The sequence below is a fragment of the Homo sapiens genome, chromosome 3 (genome assembly GCF_000001405.40).
Source record: "Homo sapiens chromosome 3, GRCh38.p14 Primary Assembly".
Taxonomy (NCBI): Eukaryota; Metazoa; Chordata; class Mammalia; order Primates; family Hominidae; genus Homo; species Homo sapiens.
Window position 1 is genome coordinate 56,939,509 of NC_000003.12, and position 25,892 is coordinate 56,965,400.

Below are 25,892 nucleotides of genomic sequence, written 5' to 3' on the forward strand. Positions count from 1 at the left end.
TTTAAAACCCCTGACTGAACCCCAATACTTCCCAACAGTCTAGAAATGGCTTAAGAACACAATTTTCTAGGACCTGCTATTATTTTGATTCATCCCGAGGACTATTATGTTTTATGTCTTGCTGAATAGCTTGCCAAACAGGCTGTTCTTGCTCCCAGAAGAGATTGTCCAGGTTGAAAAAAAATCAATAACTAAATGGACTGCTTCTAACCAAAGATGAAAGAAGAGGAGTTAGGAGTTTTGCCCACATGGAGTCAGACAGGAAAAAATGGAATCAGGATGATTACCTTTTATGATAGGAGGACAGATAGGGAAGAATTTTGTAGGCAGGAATTATTTGTATCTGCTCCAGTGCCTCCTTCTCCTTCTAGAAACTGCCCCTTCTCCCCCATTGTTACTATGGTTACCATAGGAGTCACCATGGTGGTACAGCATAATCCCACTCCCTGGCCACTGCTGATTGGTCCAAGAGTATCCACTTGATCCAAGTTGGACCAATCAGAATCCCTCCCTAGTAATTCTGGCTCTGAGAGAGAGAGAAGGCTGTCTCTCTGTAGATGGCTGTGTTTCAACTGTACTGAGAAATGGAAAAAGTCAGTTGGCCAAGCAAAAGTGCTAAGAGCAGAGAGGAGTCAAGAATCCTCATGGGCTTCCAGTGCCTGGTTCAAGGTACTTCTGAGCCTCCACTGCATTCCACGAAATACTTCCCATACCCCTGTACCTTTAAAAACTCTCCTTAAGCTAATTTGAGTTGAATTCCTGTCACTTGCAACTAGGATTTTGTAATTAACCCAGAAGGCCAAAGTAAAAGCATATTTTACCCTGCATAACTCTGGAACCAAAAAGGGACTAAGCAAGGACTAATCAAAACGATAACTATATAAAATAAACAGGCATCTAGAAACTCAAAAATGCAAATCTGCTCAACTGGCACACAAGCCTACTGTTAACTCCCACAGACCTCACATATGGCCAGAAAAAGAAACGGCTTTGAATCTAAGAATGAGCTCCAATGTTCCTGGCATATTTTTGGTGTCAGCAGGTTGAAGATGACGTGAGCTTTCCCTCACAGGTGTCAGGATCTATACAGCCTGGCTTCTCTACTGCCTGAAGGGAAATGAGACAAGCAGGACTAAGTGGAAACCCAGGTATGGTCGGTTTTGCCTTTATGAGGGGGCAGCTCACATTTAAAAAAAAAAGCATCTGTTAAATACTTATCTTTAGAAAACAGTCATCTCAGGAATAAAGGAACCCTAGTTATATGGAGCTAATATTTTCTGCGCTTACCTACATGAGAGACATTCTTCGGGTCACTTTACACACATAATTACTAAGTCTCTGGTTTTCAGAAAATGGCATTATTTTCCATACCTATTTTGCAGATAAGAGACCCGATGCTCTGAAATGTGTCTGAAGCCCCCAATCTGGCATTCTGACCCCAAAGCATATACCTTTTCACCATCTAAGCATTTGTTATGGCTGCCAAGCACTGTCCACCAAACTCAGACTCTGGGCTGACCAATAAAACTGCTAACCCCAAGGGCGCATGGAAGTAGCCTCTAGACTGACTCTCAGAGAGGTGGGGAGAACTGGGAGAGGAGGTGGGGGCAAACATCTTGAAGCACTGCAGAGCACACCACAGCATGTGCCAGCCCCTTCTGTGTACCCAGATTTCATCAGTCCCCAGAGGCTTAGCCACAGCACATGTTCTGTTTTTGAGGCAGAGTCTCGCTCTGTCGCATAGGCTGGAGTGCACTGGCATGATCTTGGCTCACTGCAACCTCCGCCTCCTGGGTTCAAGCAATTCTCCTGCCTCAGGCTCCCAAGCAGCTGGGGTCCCAGGAGTGTGCCAACACATCTGGCTAATTTTTGTATTTTTAGTAGAGACAGGGTTTTGCCATGTTGGCCAGACTGGTCTCAAACTCCTGATCTCAAGTGATCCACCTGCCTTGGCCTCCCAAAGTGCTGGGATTACAGGCATGAGCCATGATGCCCGGCCCACAGAACATGTTCAATGAAACACCCCGATGTGTTCTAAGACCTGAAACTTTTAATATAAGCCTCCTGTTGCTTGTGGAAGATTGTGATTGTGGAAGGAGTTCTTTTTTAATTATTCTACGTGTATTATTTTGCTAATTATAAAGGCAATACACACTCTCTTTAAAAAATTCAGACTTTATAAAAAATATGTAACTAACACAACAACAGTTCTCTGGGACTTCATCTACTCCATATTGTTGTTCATCAGTGACGAGACTTCTTTCTATGTATATATTAATATATTTTTTCCCCGTAAGAAGGGATCACTTTAGTTTTTATGGTTTTAATGTGCTTTTCTTTAGTTATGGTTTAAATCCTATAAATATATGCTTTACATTATATGCCTCTGCATCAATTGCACTTGTTACAATCATCACATTGTTGAGAACACAGGCTCTGAAACCAGACTGACTGGGTTCAAAAGCTACATCCACTACTTAATTGCTGTGGGTCTTTGGGGATGATTCTGGTAGAAGTTTTCCCATTTGAAAACTGGGGATAATAATAATATTGACTAAATAGTGCTGTAGGGGAATGTGATTACTTGCAAAGTACTAGGAGCAGTAGCTAGCACATTCCAAAGGCTAACAAATGAAATACATTATTATTGCTATTGTTTTTATTACAAGGATCTCTCATTTTACTGCACTTGGCTTTATTGCACTTTGCAGGTGCCACAAACTGAAGGTTTGTGGTAAAACTGCATTGAGCAAATCTATCAGTGCCATTTTTTCCAACAGTATGTGCTCAATTTGCATCTCTGCATCACATTTTGTTCACTCAAAATTCAATAGTTCAAACTTTTTCATTATTACATATCTGTTACGGTGATGTCTGACCAGTCATCTTTGATGTTACTATTGTAATTGTTTTGGGGTGCCACGAACCATCCTCATATAAGATGGTGAGCTTAATCAATAAATGTGTGTGTTCTGACTGCTCTATCAACCAACCATCCCATCTCTCTCCCTCTCCTCAGGCTTCCCTATTCCCTGAGACACACTAATATTGAAATTAGGCCATTCAATAACCCTAGAATGGTCTCTAAGTGTTAAAGTGAAAGGAAGAGTTGCCTATCTCTCACTTTAAGTCAAAAGCTAGAAATGATTAAGCTTAGTGAGGAAGGCATGTCCAAAGTTGAGGCAGGCTGAAAGTTAGGCCTATTGTACCCAACAGCCGAGTTGTAAGTGCAAAGGAAAAGTTCTTGAAGGAAATTGAAAGTGCTACTCCAGTGAACACATAAAAAGATAAGAAAGCAAAACAGCCTTATCGCTAATAGGGGGAAAGTTTGAGTGGTGTGGATAAAAGATCAAACCAGCCACAACATTCCTCTAAGCCAAAGCCTAATCCAGAGCAAGGCCCTAACTCTCTTCAATTCTATGAAGGTGAGAGGAAGATGCAGAAGAAAAGTTTGAAGCTAACAGAGGTTGGTTAGTTCATGAGGTTTAAGGAAAGAAGCTGTCTTCATAACATAAAAGTGCAAGATGAAGCAGCAAGTCCTGATGTAGAAGCTGCAGCAAGCTATCCAGAAGATCTGGCTATGATAATCGACAAAGGTGGTGACACTAAACAACAGATTTTCAATGTAGATGAAAAAGCCTTATCTTGGAAGAAGATGCCAGCTAGAGCTTTCCTAGCTAGAGAGAAGTCAATGCTTGGCTTCAAAGCTTCAAAGGACAGAATGACTTTCTTATTAGGAGCTAAGGCAGTTGGTGACTTTAAGTTGAAGCCAATGCTCATTGACCATTCTGAAAATCCCAGGGCTCTTAAGAATGATGCTAAATCTACTTTGCCTGTGCTCTATAAAGGGAACAACAAAGCCTGGATGGCAGCACATCTGTTTGCAGGATGACTTACTGAATATTTTAAGCCCACTCTTGAGACTTACCGCTCAGAAAAAAAGATTACTTTTAAAATATTACTGCTCACTGACAATGCATCTGGTCACCCGAGAGCTTCGATAGAGCTCTACAAGGAGATTAATGCTGTTTTCATGCCTGCTAACTCAACATCAATTCTGCAGCCCATGGACAGAGGAGTCATTTTGACTTTCAAGTTTGTTATTTAAAAAATACATCTCTTTAGGTCAGGCACAGTGGTTCACAACTGTAATCCCAGCACTTTGGGAGTACAAGGCAGGCGAATCACTTGAGGTCAGGAGTTCAAGACTAGCCTGACCAACACGATAAAACCCCATCTCTACTAAAAATACAAACATTAGCCAGGTGTGGTGGTGGGTGCCTGTAATCCCAGCTACTCGGGAGGCTGAGGCAGGAGAATCACTTGAACCGGGGAGGCAGAGGTGCAGTGAGCCAGGATCGCGCTACTGCACTCCAGCCTGGGCGACAGAGAGAGACTCCGACTCAAAAAAAAAAAAAACCTCTTTGGAAGGCTGAGGCAGGTGGATCACTTGAGGTCAGACGTTCGAGACCAGCCTGGCCACATGGTGAAACCCCATCTCTACTAAAAATACTAAAATTAGCCAGGCATGATGGCGGGCGCCTATAATCCCAGCTACTCGGGCGGCTGAGGCAGAATTGCTTGAACCCGAAAGGTGGAGGTTGCAGGGAGCCGAAATCACTCCACTGCACTCCAGCATGGATGACAGAGCGAGATTCAGTCTCAAAACAAAAAACAAAAACAAAACAAAACAAAAACATCTCTTAAGGCCATAGGTGCCATAGACAGTGTTTCCTCTGGTGGCTGTGGGCAAAGTAAATTGAAAATCTTCTGTAAAGGATTCACCATTCTAGATGCCATTAAGAACATTCACAATTCATGGACAGAGGTCAAAATTCCAACATTAACAGGACTTTGGAAGAAGCTGATTCCAACCCTCATGGATGACATTGAGGGGTTTAAGACTTCCGTGTTGGAAGTCACTGCAGATGTGGTGAAAATAGCAAGAGAACTAGAATTAGAAGTAGAGCCTGAAAATGTGACTGAATTGCTGCAGTCTCATGATAAAGCTTGAACGGATGGGGAGTTGCTTCTTATGGATGAGCAAAGAAAGTGGTTTCTTTTTTTTTTTTTTTTTTTTTTTTGTGAGACAAAGTCTTACTTTTTTGCTCAGGCTGGAATGCAGTGGTGCTATCTCAGGGCACTGCAACCTCTGCCTCCCGGGTACAAGCAATTCTCCTGCCTCAGCCTCCCAAGTAGCTGGGACGACAGGCACCTGCGCAACCATGTCCAGCTAATTTTTGTATTTTTAATAGAGACGGGGTTTCACCATGCTGGCCAGGTTGGCCTTGAACTCCTGACCTCAAGTGATCCACCCACCTCAGCCTCCCAAAGTGCTGGAATTACAGATGTGAGCCACCGCACTCAGCCAAAAAGTAGTTTCTTGAGATAGAATCTACTTGTGGCAAAGATGCTGTGAACATTCTTGAAATGATAACAAAGGATTTAGGATATTCCATAAACTGAATTGATAAAGCAAGCTGCAGGATCTGAGAGGAATGACTGCAATTTTGGAAGTTCTCCTATGGGTTAAATGCATCATATTCTACAGGAAATCTTTCATGAAAGGAAAGAGTCAATCAATGCAGCAAATGTCATTGTTATCTTATTTTAAGAAATTGCCAGGGGTGGAGCCAAGATGGCTGAATAGGAACAGCTCCAGTCTACAGCTCCCAGCATGAGTGATGCAGAAGACGGGTGATTTCTGCGTTTCCAACTGAGGTACTGGGTTCATCTCACTGGGGAGTGTTGGAAAGTGGGTGCAGGACAGTGGATGCAGTTCACCGAGCGTGAGCCGAAGCAGGGTGAGGCATTGCCTCACCCGGGAAGTGCAAGGGGTCAGGGAATTCCCTTTCCTAGTAAAAGAAAGGGGTGACAGATGGCACCTGGAAAATTGGGTCACTCCCACCCTAATACTGAGCTTTTCCAACGGTCTTAGCAAATGGCACACCAGGAGATTATATCCTGTGCCTGGCTTGGAGGGTCCTACGCCCACAGAGACTCGCTCATTGCTAGCACAGCAGTCTGAGATCAAACTGCAAGGCAGCTGCAAGGCAGCAGCAAGGCTGGAGGAGGGGCGCCTGCCATTGCTGATGCTTGAGTAGGTAAACAAAGCAGCCAGGAAGCTCGAACTGGGTGGAGCCCACCACAGCTCAAGGACACCTGCCTGCCTCTGTAGACTCCACCTCTAGGGGCAGGGCATAGCCAAATAAAAGGCAGCAGAATCCTCTGCAGACTTAAATGTCCCTGTCTGACAGCTTTGAAGAGAGTAGTGGTTCTCCCAGCATGCAGCTGGAGATCTGAGAATGGACAGACTGCCTCCTCAAGTGGGTCCCTGACCCCCGAGTAACCTAACTGGGAGGCACCCCCCAGTACGGGCAGACTGACACCTCACACGGCCGGGTACTCCTCTCAGACAAAACTTCCAGAGGAACGATCAGGCAGCAGCATTTGCTGTTCACCAATATCTGCTGTTCTGCAGCCTCCATTGCTGATACCCAGGCAAACAGGGTCTGGAGTGGACCTCCAGCAAACTCCAACAGACCCGCAGCTGAGGGTCCTGACTGTTAGAAGCAAAACTAACAAACAGAAAGGACATCCACACCAAAACCCCATCTGTACGTCACCATCATCAAAGACCAAAGGTAGATAAAACCACAAAGATGGGGAAAAAACAGAGCAGAAAATCTAGAAACTCTAAAAATCAGAGTGCCTCTCCTCCTCCAAAGGAATACAGCTCCTCACCAGCAATGGAACAAAGCTGGATGGAGAATGACTTTGACGAGTTGAGAGAAGAAGGCTTCAGAAGATCAAACTACTCCAAACTAAAGGAGGAAGTTCAAACCCATGGCAAAGAAGTTAAAAACCTTGAAAAAAAATTAGACAAATGGCTAACTAGAATAACCAATGCAGAGAAGTCCTTAAAGGACTGATGGAGCTGAAAACAAAGGCATGAGAACTACGTGATGAATGCACTAGCCTCAGCAGCCGATTCGATCAACTGGAAGAAAGGGTATCAGTGATGGAACATCAAATGAATGAAATGAAGCGAGAAGAAAAGTTTAGAGAAAAAAGAATAAAAAGAAACGAACAAAGCCTCCAAGAAATATGGGAGTATGTGAAAAGACCAATTCTACGTCTGGTTGGTGTACCTGAAAGTGATGGGGAGAATGGAACCAAGTTGAAAAACACTCTGCAGGATATTATCCAGGAGAACTTCCCCAATCTAGCAAGGCAGGCCAACATTCAAATTCAGGAAACACAGACAATGTCACAAAGATACTCCTCGAGAAGAGCAACTCCAAGACACATAATTGTAAGATTCACCAAAGTTGAAATGAAGGAAAAAATGTTAAGGGCAGCCAGAGAGAAAGGTCAGGTTACCCACAAAGGGAAGCCCATCAGACTAACAGCTGATCTCTCCTCAGAAACTCTACAAGCCAGAAGAGAGTGGGGGCCAATATTCGACATTCTTAAAGAAAAGAATTTCCAACCCAGAATTTCATATCCAGCCAAACTAAGCTTCAGAAGTGAAGGAGAAATAAAATCCTTAACAGACAAGCAAATGCTGAGAGATTTTGTCACCACCAGGCCTGCCCTAAAACAGCTCCTGAAGGAAGCACTAAATATGGAAAGGAACAACCAGTACCAGCCACTGCAAAAACATGCCAAATTGTAAAGACCATCGAGGCTAGGAAGAAACTGCATCAACTAACAAGCAAAATAATCAGCTAACATCATGATGAGAGGATCAAATTCACACATAACAATATTAACCTTAAATGTAAATGGGCTAAATGCTCCAATTAAAAGACACAGACTGGCAAATTGGATAAAGACTCAAGACCCATCAGTGTGCTGTATTCAGGAAACCCATCTCACCTGCAGAGACACATATAGGCTCAAAATAAAGGGATGGAGGAAGATCTACCAAGCAAATGGAAAACAAAAAAATGCAGGGGTTGCAATCCTAGTCTCTGATAAAACACACTTTAAACCAACAAAGATCAAAAGAGACAAAGAAGGCCATTACATAATGGTAAAGAGATCAATTCAACAAGAAGAGCTAACTATCCTAAATATATATGCACCCAATACAGGAGCATCCAGATTCATAAAGCAAGTCCTTAGAGACCTAGAAAGAGACTTAGACTGCCACACAATAATAATGGGAGACTTTAACACCCCACTGTCAACATCAGACAGATCAACGAGACAGAAAGTTAACAAGGATATTGAGGAATTGAACTCAGCTCTGCACCAAGCAGACCTAACAGACATCTACAGAACTCTCCACCCCAAATCAACAGAATATACATTCTTCTCAGCACCACACCGCACTTATTCCAAAATTGACCACATAGTTGGAAGTAAAGCACTCCTCAGCAAATGTAAAAGAACAGAAGTTATAACAAACTGTCTCTCAGACCACAGTGCAATCAAACTAGAACTCAGGATTCAGAAACTCACTCAAAACCGCTCAACTACATGGAAACTGAACAACCTGCTCCTGAATGACTACTGGGTACATAACGAAATGAAGGCAGAAATTAACATGTTCTTTGAAACCAACGAGAACAAAGACACAACATACCAGAATCTCTGGGACACATTTAAAGCAGTGTGTAGAGGGAAATTTATAGCACTAAATGCCCACAAGAGAAAGCAGGAAAGATCTAAAATTGACACCCTAACATCACAATTAAAAGAACTAGAGAAGCAAGAGCAAACACATTTAAAAGCTAGCAGAAAGCAAGAAATAACTAAGATCAGAGCAGAACTGAAGGAGATACAGACATAAAAAACCCTTCAAAAAATCAGTGAATCCAGGAGCTGGTTTTTTGAAAAGATCAACAAAATTGATAGACCACTAGCAAGACTAATAAAGAAGAAAAGAGAGAAGAATCAAATAGGTGCAATAAAAAATGATAAAGGGGATATCACCACCGATCCCACAGAAATACAAACTACCATCACAGAATACTATAAACACCTCTACGCAAATAAACTAGAAAATCTAGAAGAAATGGATAAATTCCTCGACACATATTCCCTCCCAAGACTAAACCAGGAAGCAGTTGAATCTCTGAATAGACCAATAACAGGCTCTGAAATTGAGGCAATAATTAATAGCTTACCAACCAAAAAAAGTCCAGGACCAGATGGATTCACAGCCGAATTCTACCAGAGGTACAAGGAGGAGCTGGTACCATTCCTTCTGAAACTATTCCAATCAACAGAAAAAGAGGGACTCCTCCCTAACTCATTTTATGAGGCCAGCATCATCCTGATACCAAAGCCTGGCAGAGACACAACAAAAAAAGAGAATTTAGACCAATATCCCTGATGAACATCGATGCAAATATCCTCAATAAAATACTGGCAAACTGAATCCAGCAGCACATCAAAAAGCTTATCCACCATGATCAAGTGGGCTTCATCCCTGGGATGCAAGGCTGGTTCAACATACGCAAATCAATAAACGTAATCCAGCATAAAAACAGAACCAACGACAAAAACCATATGATTATCTCAATAGATGCAGAAAAGGCCTTTGACAAAATTCAACAGCCCTTCATGCTAAAAACTCTCAATAAATTAGGTATTGATGGGATGTATCTCAAAATAATAAGAGCTATCTATGACAAACCCACAGCCAATATCATACTGAATGGGCAAAAACTGGAAGCATTCCCTTTGAAAACTGGCACAAGACAGGGATGCCCTCTCTCACCACTCCTATTCAACATAGTGTTGGGAAGTTCTGGCCAGGGCAATCAGGCAGGAGAAGGAAATAAAGGCTATTCAATTAGGAAAAGAGGAAGTCAAATTGTCCCTGTTTGCAGATGACATGATTGTATATCTAGAAAACCCCATCGTCTCAGCCCAAAATCTCCTTAAGCTGATAGGCAACTTCAGCAAAGTCTCAGGATACAAAATCAATGTGCAAAAATCACAAGCATTCTTATACACCAATAATAGACAAACAGAGAGCCAAATCATGAGTGAACTCCCATTCACAATTGCTTCAAAGAGAATAAAATACCTAGGAATCCAACTTACAAGGGACGTGAAGGACCTCTTCAAGGAGAACCACAAACCACTGCTCAATGAAATAAAAGAGGACACAAACAAATGGAAGAACATTCCATGCTCATGAGTAGGAAGAATCAATATCGTGAAAATGGCCATACTGCCCAAGGTAATTTATAGATTCAATGCCATCCCCATCAAGCTACCAATGATTTTCTTCACAGAATTGGAAAAAACTACTTTAAAGTTCATATGGAACCAAAAAGGAGCCTGCATTGCCAAGTCAATCCTAAGCCAAAAGAACAAAGCTGGAGGCATCATGCTACCTCACTTCAAACTATACTACAAGGCTACAGTAACCAAAACAGCATGGTACTGGTACCAAAACAGAGATATAGACCAATGGAACAGAACAGAGCCCTCAGAAATAATGCCGCATATCTACAACCATCTGATCTTTGACAAACCTGACAAAAACAAGAAAAGGGGGAACGATTTCCTATTTAATAAATGGTGCTGGGAAAACTGGCTAGCCATATGTAGAAAGCTGAAACTGGATCCCTTCCTTACACCTTATACAAAAATTAATTCAAGATGGATTAAAGACTTAAATGTTAGACCTAAAACTATAAAAACCCTAGAAGAAAACCTAGCAATACCATTCAGGACATAGGCATGGGCAAGGACTTCATGTCTAAAACACCAAAAGCAAGGGCAACAAAAGCCAAAACTGACAAATGGGATCTAATTAAACTAAAGAGCTTCTGCACAGCAAAAGAAACTACCATCAGAGTGAATAGGCAACCTACAGAATGGCAGAAAATTTTTGCAATCTACTCATCTGACAAAAGGCTAATATCCAGAATCTACAATGAACTCAAACAAATTTACAAGAAAAAAAGAAACAACCCCATCAAAAAGTGGGAAAAGATATGAACAGACACTTCTCAAAAGAAGACATTTATGCAGCCAAAAGACACATGAAAAAATGCTCATCATCACTGGCCATCAGAGAAATGCAAATCAAAAGCACAATGAGATACCATCTCACACCAGTTAGAATGGCGATCATTAAAAAGTCAGAAACAACAGGTGCTGGAGAGGATGTGGAGAAATAGGAACACTTTTACACTGTTGGTGGGACTGTAAACTAGTCCAACCATTGTGGAAGTCAGTGTGGCGATTCCTCAGGGATCTAGAACTAGAAATACCATTTGACCCAGCCATCCCATTACTGGGTATATACCCAAAAGATTATAAATCATGCTGCTATAAAGACACATGCACACGTATGTTTATTGCAGCACTATTCACAATAGCAAAGACCTGGAACCAACCCAAATGTCCAACAACAATAGACTGGATTAAGAAAATGTGGCACATACACACCACGGAATACTATGCAGCCATAAAAAGTTATGAGTTCATGTCCTTTGTAGGGACATGGATGAAGCTGGAAACCATCATTCTCAGCAAACTATCGCAAGGACAAAAAACCAAACACGGCATGTTCTCACTCATAGGTGGGAATTGAACAATGAGAACACATGGACACAGGAAGGGGAACATCACACACCGGGGCCTGTTGTGCGGTGGGGGGAGGGGGGATGGATAGCATTAGGAGATATACCTATGTTAAATGACAAGTTAATGGGTGCAGCACACCAACATGGCACATGTATACATATGTAACTAACCTGCACGTTGTGCACATGTACCCTAAAACTTAAAGTATAAAAAAAAAAAGAAAGGAAAGAAAAAAAAGAAAGAAATTGCCACAGCCACCCCAGCCTTCAGTAACCACCACCCTGATCCATCAGCAGCCATCATCATTGAGGCAAGATGATCATTAGCATTTTTTGCATTGAAGTATTTTTAAATTAAGATATATATATTTTAGACATAATGCTATTACACACTTAATAGACTACAGTATAGTGTAAACATAACTTTTATATGCACTGGGAAACCAAAACATCCATGTAACTCACTTTATTGCCCTATTGACTTCATTGTGGTGGTCTGGAACTGAACCAGCAATGTCTCTGGGGTGTGCCTGCACTTTCATAATTTAAAAATATTTGTATATTATTAGTTAGAATGCACAATTTGACTCGGATTACTGGTCCTATGTATTTTCTCTTCTATGCTGCCTATTCTGATCCATTAACTGTTTTCCTATTAGATTTTCAAATTTGTGTTACTGTTTTCCAAGAGTCCTCTGTATGTTAGAGGTTAGTATGAGGTGAATATTGCAAATATTCTCCCCACTTGCAAATAATTTCATACAAAAGAAAAGTTCCAAACAGATGCTGGCCAAGAACATGTGCTTTGGAATGAGGTGAGGTCAGGTTCGAATCCTAGCTTCACCACTTACCTGTTGTGTGACTCTAGGCAAGTTATTCCCTTCTCTAAACCTCTGTGTGGTAGGCAAAATTCTAAGATGGTCCCCAAGATTCCCATCCTCTAGTGTATACACCTTGTATAATCCTCTCCCCTTGGGTGCAATCAGAACCTAGTAATGTCATGGGATATCACCCCCATGATTGGGTAACTAATCATTGGCTTTTAGATCATCAAGAGAGAGATCATCTGAGTGGGCCTAATTTAGTCTGATGAGCCCTTAAAAGGAATTTGGCTCTTCCTCAAGTCAGAGACATCTGAAGCATGAATGGATGTGGTGTGAGGGAGATTCTCCATTGCTGACTTTGAAGATGACATGGCAAGCTCTCTGACAGCGACCCCAAGCTGACAGCCAGCAAGGAAATGAGAACCTCCTGACAACCACAAGGAACTGAATTCTTCCAACAGCCCAAATGAACTTGGAAGAAGACCCCAGGCCTCAGATGAAACTCTAGCCCTGACTGACAGCTTGATTTCAGTCTCAGGAGATCTTGGGCAGAGAACTCACTTACACCATGCCCTAACTTCTAATCCACAGAACTCCAAGCTAGTGAACAACTGCTGTTTAAGCTGCTAAATTTATAATAATTTGTTACTCAGCAGTAGAATATTAAGGTACTGTATTTTCTCATTTATAAAATGAAGATGAGGCTGAAACTATACCCACCTCTTAAGATTTTTCTGAGAAGTAATATATGCGTAAAATGCTCAACACAGTGCCAGGTAAAATGTAAGTGAATGCCAGGGGTTAGATACCTGGGATAAATGAAGTTATTGCTATTGTTTTAGTAATTACCATTACAAAGTTGGGGTAACAAATCATTTTTTCATACATCTAGTAGGGAAGATTAAAAGGTTTAAAATAAAGTCGAAGAGAGTAGAAGGAAATCAAGGTGATGAAAAGTTTAAAAAAGATCTTTTAAAAAGTTCTTCACGTCTAACCTCCTTTGAGGACAAGTAGGTGTCATCAGCCTTGTTTTAAAGAGGTAATATACTCTAACGGCCTGGGAACAGAAAGTCCTGCATTCAAATGCTGACTCTGCCAATTACTACACCTGTACTTTAGGCAAATAGCAGGGGTGGGGCTCTGTTTCCCCATCTTTGGACTGGGAATACATACTATCTACCAGGCGGGACTGCCACAGCCTGGCCTGGGACTGACGTTCAGTCAACAAAAGTAAATGCACAAACTGAGCCTGCAAGAGAAGTGAAAGGCTTGCTGGCTTCTTTTGCAGTGTAGAGATGGTAAAGCCACAATACATACTGACCTGGCCTGGTGTGTTGTGAGCATTAGAGACTCTGTCACTTTACTGAGTTGTGAATTTCAGAGCAACTCTCCATCTGACCTTCAAGAAACATTTGGCTACAATGAGGTTTTGGCAACTTCCTTCTATACACGGAGAATGGAATGGGTCAAGGCAGTGTGGAGAAGGTTGAGGACCTCTTGTCAAAAGACAAGGTTCTAGTCCTGATCTCTCCACTGTGAGTGACCCTTAGGAGTGGGCTCCATTATTTTCTGGCTGTCCAGGAAACAGAGTCCCTTTTGGTAACAACACCAAACTCTTTCTTTGAGCAGCTGCCCCTTCCCCACCTCAAGTGGCTCCAGTGGAGCTACCAGTTACAGAGCCCTGTCCACCTGGCTCCCTGACTATGGAGGGAGGCATGTGACCAAGGCCTGTCTAATCAAAGTACCCCATCTTCTTGACCATAGCGATTGGCCGAGGCATAGCTATGTGACCCAAGCCCAGACAATCAGAGTCCTACACTGGGATTTCATAGATGGATCCTGGAAGCAAATCTCTCTTGCCTCTGGAAATGTGTGGCCATTTATGGTCACCCTGTTCCTTCAAAAACATCCATCTGCAGTAGGAGAAGACAAACCAAGAGAGTGGCAAAGCTGAGAAAAGGAATACACCTGGAAACAGCTGTGCCTGAAGCTTACCCACCTCAGTTTCCCTCAGTCACATAAGCAACCAATTCCCTTTATACTTGAGCTAGTTTTAACTGAGTTTCTATCACTTATAACCCAGAGTCCTGACTAATATACAAGGTCTCATTTTCTTTGTCTAAATATTAAAAGGTCAGGGCTACAATGTCCAAAGTTACTTCTAAGCCCCAGAGTCTAGAAAATCTTCTCAAATGGACTAGACAAAAGTAAAGACCAGGCACTGGAGAAGGAGACAAGACAAAAAGGGCTCTGAAATTTGGTCTGTATTTAATTAAAACCTCAGTTCTGGCACCTAAAACAATGCCTTTCACAGCAGGTCCTGGTTAAGCATTTCCTAGTTAACTTACAGGCAATGGCAGGAGCTGTGTTCCAGAGACTTTCACAGCTCTAGGGTGTGTGTCTTCCTTGAGCCTCAGTGCCTCCACCCCACCCCAACAGGAGGAGCTGCAGCAAATATTTTCACAAGGAAGGGTGGAAATTCTGGACTCTGAGCTCAGCACTGCCCCAACCAGATGGGAGCAGATGTGCAGTGAGTACCTGATGGAGAAGCTGCCTCACAGCGAGACACCCCCCAGGGTTCCTCCTCTCTCAGCCTTCTCATTCCTCCCATTCTGTGAGGTTTTCTCCTACTGTTCCTTCCATGTCCACTCCACCCTAAACCATCCTCTCTGCTTCTCTTGGTGAATGCATCTGCAGCACCTATGGGTCTGGTAAGTGGTGGGCACAGTGCCACACCTTGCTCAGGAGGGTGGGAAAGTCCTGGAGGGTTGGTAACACCCAGGGCCTCTGTCTCCTTAGACAAGCATGGGAACTGAAGGGCAGAATGCACCCTGCAATTAATGAAGATGACAATCCGGGAAAGGGCTAAACCACTTGGTAAGGAGAGGGGATATGTAATATGAGTGTCAATAGCCTTTTCTGAGCCTCTCTACAGCCAAACACTCCAGCATAAAAAAGGAAAAACACAAATGCAACTCCTAATGTCTGAGGACTAATGGAGGTCTGCAGGGAATGTTTCCAGGGAAAACAAAGACGGGGGTGCAATACAACTCACTCAGCAAGACTTTCTTTAAAGTTATTTTGAAATCTCTCTTCTCCCAAAAAGTCTGCTCCTCAGCCACCCAGATCTTGCCTACCAGCTTCTCCCACTGTACCTCTCCTCGAGAGCAATATGGTTCCTTCTTCTCTTGCCTTTTCCAAACCATTTCTCACCATCACCTCGTCCCCCACCCCATCCCCTTAAATTCACAAGTGCCTAGGACATTGGTGAACAAACACTGATCCTTTTTCTTTTTTTTTTTTTTCTTTTCTTTTTTTTTCTTGAGACAAGGTCTCTCTTTGTTGCCCAAGCTAGAGTGCAGAGGTGCAACCATCGCTCCCTGCAGGCTTAAACTCCTGGGCTCAAGTGATCCTCCCACCTCAGCTTCCCTGGTAGCTTGGACTACAGGAATAGGTCATCACGCCCAGCTAATTTTGGGGTTTGTTTCTGTTTTCAGAGACAGGGTCCTGCTTTGTTGCCCAGGCTGGTCTTGAACTCCTGGGCTCAAATGATTCTCCTGCCTCAGCCTCCCAAAGTGCTGGGATTACAGGCATGAGCCACTGCGCCCGGCCTGGATCCCTTTTCTTTGCAAGAGGAATGAAATTGCAAATGCTGATAATACAATGGCTTTCTCCGACACATACATAAATGTGGAAAATTTGCTAGCATAGAGATTCTGAAACCTCCCTTTCTAAATAAAGAAGAAAGCAGAGTGTTCACAAAAAGCACACCCTGCCCTAGAACAGCATGCACATCCTGGCCTAACAGACCTGGGAGTCAGATTTCATTACAGAAGATGTGTCAGCTAGATGATGCCTCACATGTCTTCATCCTGACATTCTGCATCCTTCTCGTTCTTCAATTTTAATTACCATAATGACAATTACAAAGTGTGTCCTGGCTGGGAGTGAGGGTGTTTCCACTTGGTTGGGTTCCCTTCCCCAATCCCCGACCATGTCACTGTGGATTACACTCTGAGGCAAAGAGAGATCAGTTTTGGCCAAGGAGGAATCTGGCCTTTGGCCAGGCCCTGAACTGTCTCCCTCTGGTATATCTTGATGTCAGTTTGTCTAATTTTACCAATAAGCCTCAGGGCCCAGAAGAAATCAAGGCAAGGACAGGAGATCAAGATAAACATCACAAATGGCCTAATCACCTAACTGACAACTTTTGCTGTTTGGGAAAATCTTGTGAGCTAGCTAAGAACTTGAGGGCTGAACCTGAAGTCAACATTGCATTGAACTCTGAAACCCACTTGGTTGCAATTAGCCAGGGGCAGGGTTGGTGTTTTTTTTTTTTTTGTTTGTTTGTTTTCCTGCAGTGAATTATTACTTTTTTTTAAATTTTATTTATTTATTGAGACAGAGTCTTGCTGTGTTGCTCAGATTAGACTCAGACTCCTGGGCTCAAGCAATCCTCCTGCCTAATCTTCCTGAGTCCCTAAGATTACAGGTGTGTGCCACAGTGCCCAGCAAATTAATGTGACTGTTGTGTTAGAGAGATTTGGCAAGGATGGGGCAAACAGAGGGTCACTTAAACCAAGTATGTATCTAACAGGTTCCTTTGAGTAACAAGTTCTATAAACCAGAGTCGTGCTTAAAAATTCACAGAACATTTTTCAAGGGAAAACAGTTGAAGAGGTCTCGTGGCCATAGGTGGGGTAATCAATTGTCCCAGTTAGCCTGGTTCCAGGGAATTTCATGATGTGCAGGACTTTCAGTGCTCAACCCAGGACAGTCCCTGGGCAAACTTGGATGGTTGGTCACTCCACGTGTACCCACAAGCCTTGGCTAATGACCATTGTTGGAGCAGAAGGGGAGCAATACTGAAGGGAGGATGGATAGGGCAAGCACTGAAAACAAAGGCCTTCAAAAAGGCTAACTTGCTCACAAGAGATCTAATTTCTCTATAGTTCAAAATTGACTGTTAATGTCAGCTATTCCAAAGTGCATACAATCTACTTGGTCAACAAGGGATTTCATGATCAATGACTTCGGGAAATGCTACAAACTCCACCAGTTCTCCTTATGGAGTCTCCACGTACATCAACACTTCAAAGGCTCTGAGAAGCCCTGCAGTAGCGAGCATATTTAGTTTAATACACTCAGTATGTCCCAAATAGATCTGACCACACAAGCCTTTTGTACTTAATGGTTATGATCACACAACTGGATACACTTTGAGAAATGGAGATCCTACCCACAAAACCATAAATGACTTAGGAAGTGCATGACTTGCATTCAGTAAGACATGCACATCTATTTCAGAAGTCAACACATTTCTCTTTGTACTCAATAAAAAGCATATTGTAACCTGAGCTAAAATAGTTCCATGATCTATATTTATTTTTAATAAGACACTTGGAGAAAATGACTGAGATCTATACAAGATTTTAAAGTGTGAATAGAACCAGTCAGAACAGTATTAAAAAGACTAAAGACCTGAACTTGAAACGCAATCTAAAGGTAACATGTGGATGGATGCAAGAAAAGTATTTGGTATCAGATGGATGTGAGAAAGGTATTCATTCATTCCATTCATTCATCTGACAAATTAATTAAGCATACATGTGCTAGGCACTGTACTAGGCCCAGAGATACAGTAGTGAACAAGAGAGAAAGACAAGGTTGCTACACTCTTCATGCCTGAGTCTTCCAATCTTAAATTTCAGTAAGGACTAAGCACAATAGTAAGAAACTGCAGGGGTACATAGGAGATTCAGGAACTCAGATTCAGGGGGTGGTCATGAGGGCTTCTTCCAAGAGGAGGTGATGTCAAGGCTGAGACCCAGTGGGTAAAGTGTGTGGGCCCGGAGCAGTGTGTGTAGGAGTGTGGTGCTAGGCAAAGAGAGTGCTCTAGGCAGAAGGAACATGTGCAAAGGCCTGGAAGTGAAAAAGAGCTCAGAGCATTCTCTACAGATGCAAGTTTTGCTCCTGAGATTAGCGCTAGAATTCACTTTAGCACACAGCAGGACCTCCATACACTGTGGCTATTATTATTATTATCATCACTATTATGCTGAGGAAGACAACCTTGCATCAAGAAGTTCAATCTGACCCTTCCTATACCTCTATATCTCCCAAGCAAGGTTGATTGCTTTGTGCTTGGTCAAATTTTATGATTCCTAAAATCTGTTTAAAGCTTACAGACTTCTCCTTCTGGAAAACAAAGCTCCCTGTGAAGGCATAAATCTACAGATTAATAAACTCTACATTTCTGATTTCTTTTTTCCTTCATTGTACACTGGTTCCCTCCAGGTTCCAAAGAAAACAGCCCCAATGCCTGCCTCAGCAACCTTGACACTTCTTAGCTTCTTCACAAGATGCTTCCTGCAGCCCAAGACCCTCAGGGCAGGTGAATGTCAGCAGAAGCTTACTGGGCCACTTGAATTTTTTTTTTTTTTTTTTTTTTAATTTTAGACAGAGTCTCGTTCTGTTGCACAGGCTGGAGTGCAGTGGCATGATCTCAGCTCACCACAACCTCCGTCTCCTGGGCTCAAGTGATCCTCCCACCTCAGCCTCCTGAGTAGCTAGGACTACAGGCACATGCCACCGTGCCCAGCTAATTTTCATATTTTTTTTTGTAGAGTAGCAGCTTCGCCATGTTGCCTAGGCTGGTCTCAAACTCCTAGGCTCAAGCGATCCTCCCACATTGGCCTCCCAAAGTGCTGGGATTACAGACATGAGCTATCACGCCTGGCCACCACTTGGAGTTTTTACTTAACCCACAACCACTGATTCAAGTGTGACTTCCCCAAGTGGTAAAGCACAGATGCGCTCCTGATGGAGACTTTGATTAGTAAAACCAACCCTAACAGCGTCCGTTCTGGAGGCCAGAGCATGTATCCATAATAGGACATTTAACAGCAGGGGCTACCCAGGGCAACACTTACCCCTCTGAAATTCCAGGCTTTAGGAGAGGGAAACATGGGAAAGTTGTTTTGCCGCTGCCGTTTAGGCCTAGAAGAGAAAAGACAATGTATTCATTATTCAGTGGTTGGATATTCAGAGGAAGTCACTGCTTTCAAATGCAGGTTTATCAAAAAGAGAGATGCCTCAAGAAATGGCCCAAACAAGGTGGATGGAGTTTTCAACAGCTCTGCAATCTTCAGCAGCCAAATTCACCCCAAACTCCTTCTCAGTTCCCCAGCAGGAAAGTCCCAGAGTCCCTTAAAATAGCCCTTCATCTGTATAAAGTAAAATAAAATCTAACACGCAACCTGGATGCAATAAAAAAGTCAGACCAGACTCCCAATCTTTGTCTTGAATTTTCACATAGACTCAATTCCCACATGGACACTATCAGGAGATGTATAGCTTCAGCTCAGCCTGGAACTCTCCCTTGTCACACAGACATGCTGGGGAGTTCCAACAAGGGGTACATTTGAGCTCCAGGTTTTTAAAGCAACCATCAACGGGACATTTAGCCCCCGCGTAACAAGCTGAAACTGGTTTCCTCACCTGTTAACCTCTCAACATGAATCAATTTCCTTAGAGGCAGTGGAGGCAGCTTCAAGACAGACCAGCACAAAGAGACTCCAGGCACACCAGAAGCACCTTATTTCTGTCTCCTAATCAAATTTTGTAGCTGCCAATATAACTACAGGAATACCTTTTTCAATATTTTTATGGATAAATTACTCCCCTAAAACATGTGATGTCTGTCAATATGGATATTCAGATTTCATGTTTGCTGAAAAGCATCTCTGAAAAGCATCCACCTTGGACTTTTCCTGGGGCTTTAGTCACTGATGTACCAAAAGGCTGGCCAGGTGCGGTGGCTCACGTCTGTAATCCCAGCACTTTGGGAGGCCGAAACAGGCAGATCACTTGAGGTCAGGAGTTCAAGACCAGCTTGGCAAACATGGTGAAACCCCATCTCTACTAAAAATACAGAAATTAGCCAGGCATGCTGGTGGGCACCTGTGATCACAGCTACTCGGGAGGCTGAGGCAGGAGAATCGCTTGAACCCGGGAGGCAGAGGTTGCGGTGAGCCGAGATTGCACCACTGCACTCAGCCTGGGTGACAGAGCGAGACTCCATCTCAGAAACAAACAAACCCCAAAAGGTTGGTTACACAATAGTCACTTTTACCTTGACCTTTCTGCTGTAATCAGCAATAATGCAAGGCAGAAAGCATGTAGTGACCAGTGTACAGGCTTTGTGGTATGTTAGAGCTGAGTAAAAATCTTGATTGCTCTACCATACAAAAGAGATAAAATACAAGGTAATTACAATAATAGCAGCAACTAACCAATACTGAGCACTTTAAAAAGCATATGCTAATATTTTACATAGTTAATCCCATGACTCTCACCCTGTGAGTTAGGATGCATTATTGTACCCATTTTATAGATAAGAGCACTGACGCCTAGGGATATTAAGTGCTTTGATTCTGATCACACAGATGAAATTGGGATTCTGTTCTTAGTTGTCTGACCTCAAATACCATGGTGTTTATTAGCGCTGTGACTCTGAACACGAGGCTTAATTTCTTGAGCTTTGGTTTTCTTACATGCAAAACAGGGGAAATAATACCCTCTGTGTTGAGTCAAGATGAGATGAGGACTCTAACTCTGGTTCTGTCATTGCTGTTTTTACCAGCTGTCAGCGTGGTGCCCCTGTCCCCCTTTCTCTCTCAACACCTAGCTCCAAGAACAGCATTCAACCCAGGATGCAGGGCTGACACAGAAGAGCCAGGGCAACTCACCAAAACTATGGGAACTCCCACCTGATGTGCCTTTAAACCAGGCCCCCTCCTGCCTCAACCTCCTCTTCACCCACACGTAAGCAATAAAAACCCAGGCTAATAAGATCGCAAGACAGAGAACATGTGGGTGGTTATTTATGTTTCATACCCTTCTCCATTAAGTTACATGTTGGCCTAAGTCCTTCTGAAAATAAATGTCTGTTTTAAAACAAAATTTTTGGATTTCAACAATACTTCTCCCTGGATACCACTCCCTTCCCTCTCAGTCATAACTGGGCTTTGCTTTCCTAACTATTTGATGGAATTCATTGCTTCTAAAGTAACAATATATACCAGAACATTCTGAGTAAATGTGTCTTTATCTTACATGTTGCAATCCACAGAAGATCACACATAATGTCAATTATCACAATAATTAACACAGATTCAATTACAGATGTGCCCAGGACTAAGCACTTTAGGTACTCTAAGTCTCACAATAATCTTATAAGGTAGCTTATTATGTTATAATGTAAATACATGACATACAGACAGCATTATAACAGTGTTATATAACATTTTATACACAATATATTATAATGGCATTACATACATTTAAATAAATAATCTTACATCATAATTTTATATAACATTATGTAATATGATATAGTGGGAACATTGTCACTACTGCATTTTATAGATGAGATAAACTGAGGCTCAGAGAGGTTAAACCACATGCCAGAAGTCACACAGCTATTTGGTGGCCAATTTGGGATTCAAACCCAGATGTGTCTGACTCCAGATCCAGAGGATGCAGTCCCTCTCACATGAAGAGAAGTCCCCCCAAACAGGGCAAAGCATACCCCTGAAAGAAAGCTGCCTGGGGGTTCCTTGTGGGAGGGCAGCAGCTTAGCAGGGCTTCCCACCATCAGGCCTCATAGCCAAAGAAAAAGCATCAGAGCAAATCTGTCCATTCGGGATACTGTTGGGCAACTTAAGTGTCCCTGTCAGCTGGAGAAGCTGCCAGGAGACCTACCGAGAGAAGGGCTGTCCCTAATTGTTAGCTCCCACCTTCCTCTCATCCCACCACCATTCAGGCTTCCGGTCATTCACATTAGCTACAGTCCCTCTTAACAATTCTAGGCCAGGCACAAGACTCATGCCTGTAATCCCAGCATTTTGGGAGGCCAAGGTGGGAGGATCACTTGAAGGCAAGAGTTCAAGACCAGCCTGGGCAACATAGGGAAACACCATCTCCGCTAAAAATAAAAACAAATTAGCTGGGCATTGTGGTGCCTGCCTGTAGTCCCAACCACTTGGGAGGCTGAGGTAGGAAGATTGCTTAAGCCCAGAAGTTTGAGGTTGCAACGAGCTATGATCATATTACTGCCCCCCAGCCTGGGTGACAGAGGGAGACCCTGTCTCTAAAAATAATAACAAATGTTTGAAAATTATATCCTGATACCATAATAGCCTCCTGATAATTTCCTCCTTCTCCCCAGCCAAACACTACCACCCAGGTGGCTTTAATGCACAGATTCAGGGAAGGAGAACCATACTGATGAGAAGGCTTCTTGATGAAGCTGGTGAAGGATCCTAGCAGCATAAAGTGCACCATCACGGAAGCACCAACACCAGGTCCTCACCAAAGGAGGGGCCTCTCAGTCCTGGGTATATTTCTTCTATTGTAGAAGCAGTATTTTGCACAATCAGCAAAAGTCCAAGTGAGAAAATAGCACTTGATGCTGCAGGTTTCCCAGACACAAAGACACTCAGCTGAGCTTCTGAACAAGGCTTGGAGGGCGTGTCTATCGTCTGTGTCCAGCCCTCAGGCTCCTCATGTGAGCAGGCTGTGCATGGTGTACACACATGGTTACAAAGCACAGCCTTCTGTCTAGGCAGCATTTCCCAGTGTCTCACAGATGTCACAAGGATAAGTATGACCACTTCCATAGAGGGATTCACAGGAAAGCCAGGGATGGGTGAGCAGCAAGAGAGAAACTTCCAAGATTGTTGGAGGGGTTGGAGTTGGGGGGCTGCTATTGTGGAGGGAGGTTACAACCTTACAAAAGGTGGGAAAGAAAAGCCACAAGCTCCCCACCCTTGGGAAAGCTCATAATAGAAATGGAGAAATGCCCACAGTAGCAGAGAAAAATCAGCATTCAAGGTTCAGTTAGGGAATGATCTCAAATTCAAGTGTATGTGTCTGGAATCAAACAGAATAAGGTCAGCAGCAATAGGCCTTAGGGTTAGTGCAGAATTTATTTTCCCACCATGTGAAAACAAATGTGACTGTTTCTCGTCACCTTGAGAAGAGGTTTAGCGACCACTTATACAACAGCTTCTTAGTATGGGTTCAGAATTGAACATGTATTTAGACTGCTCCTGCTGTCTGCGCACTGTGTGGGGCTCAGAACATGGTGTTTAGGGAAGAGCCAGCTTGGGGTTCTAATAGTGGCTCCCTCCCTTTCTTGGTGGGGGACTTCAAGCAAGTTCCCTACTCTCTACTCCCTCTGAGCCTCCATTTTCTCATCTGTAAAGTGGGGCTAATAATCCCTTTTCACAAAATTGAAGGAATAAATTCATGTACTAAAAAAAATGGCTAGCAGGGAGTCTGGCACTTAGTAGGTACTCAAATTAGCTATTATCATTATGAGAAGACTCCTTCTTTAACCCAGTAAGGGTAAATGTTAGTTACCATTATCATTGGTGAGGCTCATATTGGAGGGCCAATGAAATTTACATCTCACTCTTAAGGACTGGGTAAAATATACACAAAAGAAAACAAAGGCTTCAATGTGTTATGAATATTTGTTTTAGATAACAACATGGCCACAAATCTGGACCTGAGGTAACCATGAAAAGAGACTTCTCTTTTCTAATTTCCTAACTCCACTTTCCCTTCTCAAAGACTACCACCTTCGTCAGCAAGTTGTATATGTTTTAAATATTTTACTGTCTGAATTCTTAACCCAGAACATCTTGCTAACGAAACTTTTTTCGTCTTTTCTCGTTTTACCTCTCTTTATCCATCAGAACAATTGTAGCATAACTAGAAAAATCAAACAGCTATATTTTTTAAGAGAAATCTGTGCCGAATGTGGTACCACCTGTGCCAGGTATTTTTATTCTGATTGAACCACTTAAGAAGATAATGGCTTCTTTCACTTAAACATCTTTTTAGTTTCTGTTTTTAGGACATAGTTGATGAGAGACTGGCAGGTGTTTAGCCAGGTGAAGACCCAATTCTTTGTGGAGAAGCTCACTGTGAAGAGGTAGTTTGCAGAATAGAAAGCTCATCACTTTGGCCTGTCTCTCTCTTGAACAAAGGGACATCCCAATAACATTTCTATGGCTCAATGAGTCACACTCAGCTTCATTCTACTCATGCCATGGCTGCAACTCCAACTCTTTATTTCCTCATAAATTACGGGAAAAAAGAATCACAGAGGCTGCATGCGGTGGCTCACGCCTGTAATCCCAGCACTTTGGGAGGCCGAGGCAGGCAGATCACCTGAGGTCAGGAGTTTGAGACCAGTCTGGAAAATATGGTGAAACCCCGTCTCTACTAAAAAAATGCAGAAATTACTGTACATGGTGGTGCATGCCTGTAGTCCCAGCTACTTGGGAGGCTGAGGCATGAGAATCACTTGAACCCGGGAGGCACAGGTTGCAGGGAGCCGAGATCGTGCCACTGCACTCCAGCCTGGGTGAAAGAGCAAGACTGTCTCAAAAAAAAAAAAAAAAAAAAAATCACAGAACCTCAGAAATGGTCAGCTGGTACAATTTCTCAGTCACTAGCTGAATCCTCTTTCCAGCAGTCCAGCTGAGAATGGCCCCTTAAAGAGAGCCCTCACCTTTGGAGAATGGGTCTGTACTCTACTCGTGGGAGCTCACCCACTAATTTGTTCACCAATATTATTGAGCAGCTACTACATGTCAGGCATGGTGCCAGACATTAGAGATCAGCAGTGGACAAGAAATTCAGTTCCTGCTTTCATGTCCTCACAGGGCATTCAGATCCACCCTGTTCCCCTCCAAAAAATTACAACATGGCAAATTGCTTTTTTTTAAGTGGTAGTGAGGAGTGCCGCAGGGTCTCGACCAAAGTTTGAGGAGCCAGAAAGACCTCCCAGAGAAAATGAGGCCTCTCTGAGACCTAACAGAGAAGAAGGACTCAACAGGTGATGAGAAAAGGGAAAAGTAGGCCAAGCCAAAGGAAAACCATGCTAAAAAGGCAGAAGGGAAAAGACAAACAAAATAGACATTAAATAGATAAAACTGGCCAAATTCAAAAAGAGGTGGAAAGGACACTAATAAATACTGTTATGAATAGGGTCACATAACTACAGATTAAATAGCAATTAAAATTTAAAGCTTCTCAGTGCTTTGGGTGGCCAAGGAAGGAGGATCGCTTGAGGCCAGGAGTTCCAGACCAGCTTGGGCAACATAGCAAAACCAACTCTACAAAAAAAATTTTTTTTAATTAACCAGGCATGGTAGCATGAGCCTATAATCCCAGCTACTCAGCAGGCTGAGGTGGGAGGACTGCTTGAGCCTAGGAGTTCAAGGCTGCAGTCAGGGATGATAATGTCACTGCACTCTAGTCTGGGCAACCATAAGAAGGCCCCATTTTAACAAATAAATAACGACTACAATAAGAATGTTATCAATAGTTTTATGGCATTAAATTTGAAAACTTAAAGAAAATGCAGAAATCCCTAGGAAAATATAACTTATTAAAACTGTCCCAAGAAGAAATAGAAAGCCTGAATAGCCTT

The 25,892-nt window shown here is 42.8% G+C and overlaps 1 protein-coding gene and 1 long non-coding RNA gene across 15 annotated transcripts in view; one reads left to right on the top strand and one right to left on the bottom strand.

Moving 5' to 3' along the window:
* Positions 1-25,892, bottom strand: part of ARHGEF3 (Rho guanine nucleotide exchange factor 3) — a 351,849-nt gene that overhangs the window by 212,089 nt on the left and 113,868 nt on the right. For all 14 annotated transcript variants that reach the window (NM_001377411.1, NM_001377410.1, XM_017006503.2 and 11 more), the window contains one exon: positions 19,315-19,381. In NM_001377411.1, the coding sequence (NP_001364340.1) occupies positions 19,315-19,350 (36 nt within the window). In that variant the 5' untranslated portion in view covers positions 19,351-19,381. The remainder of the gene's footprint in view (positions 1-19,314; positions 19,382-25,892) is intronic.
* Positions 532-21,346, top strand: ARHGEF3-AS1 (ARHGEF3 antisense RNA 1). The gene is made up of 3 exons (NR_046572.1): positions 532-669; positions 1,073-1,148; positions 21,072-21,346. It is a non-coding gene; the product is annotated as an ARHGEF3 antisense RNA 1 (long non-coding RNA).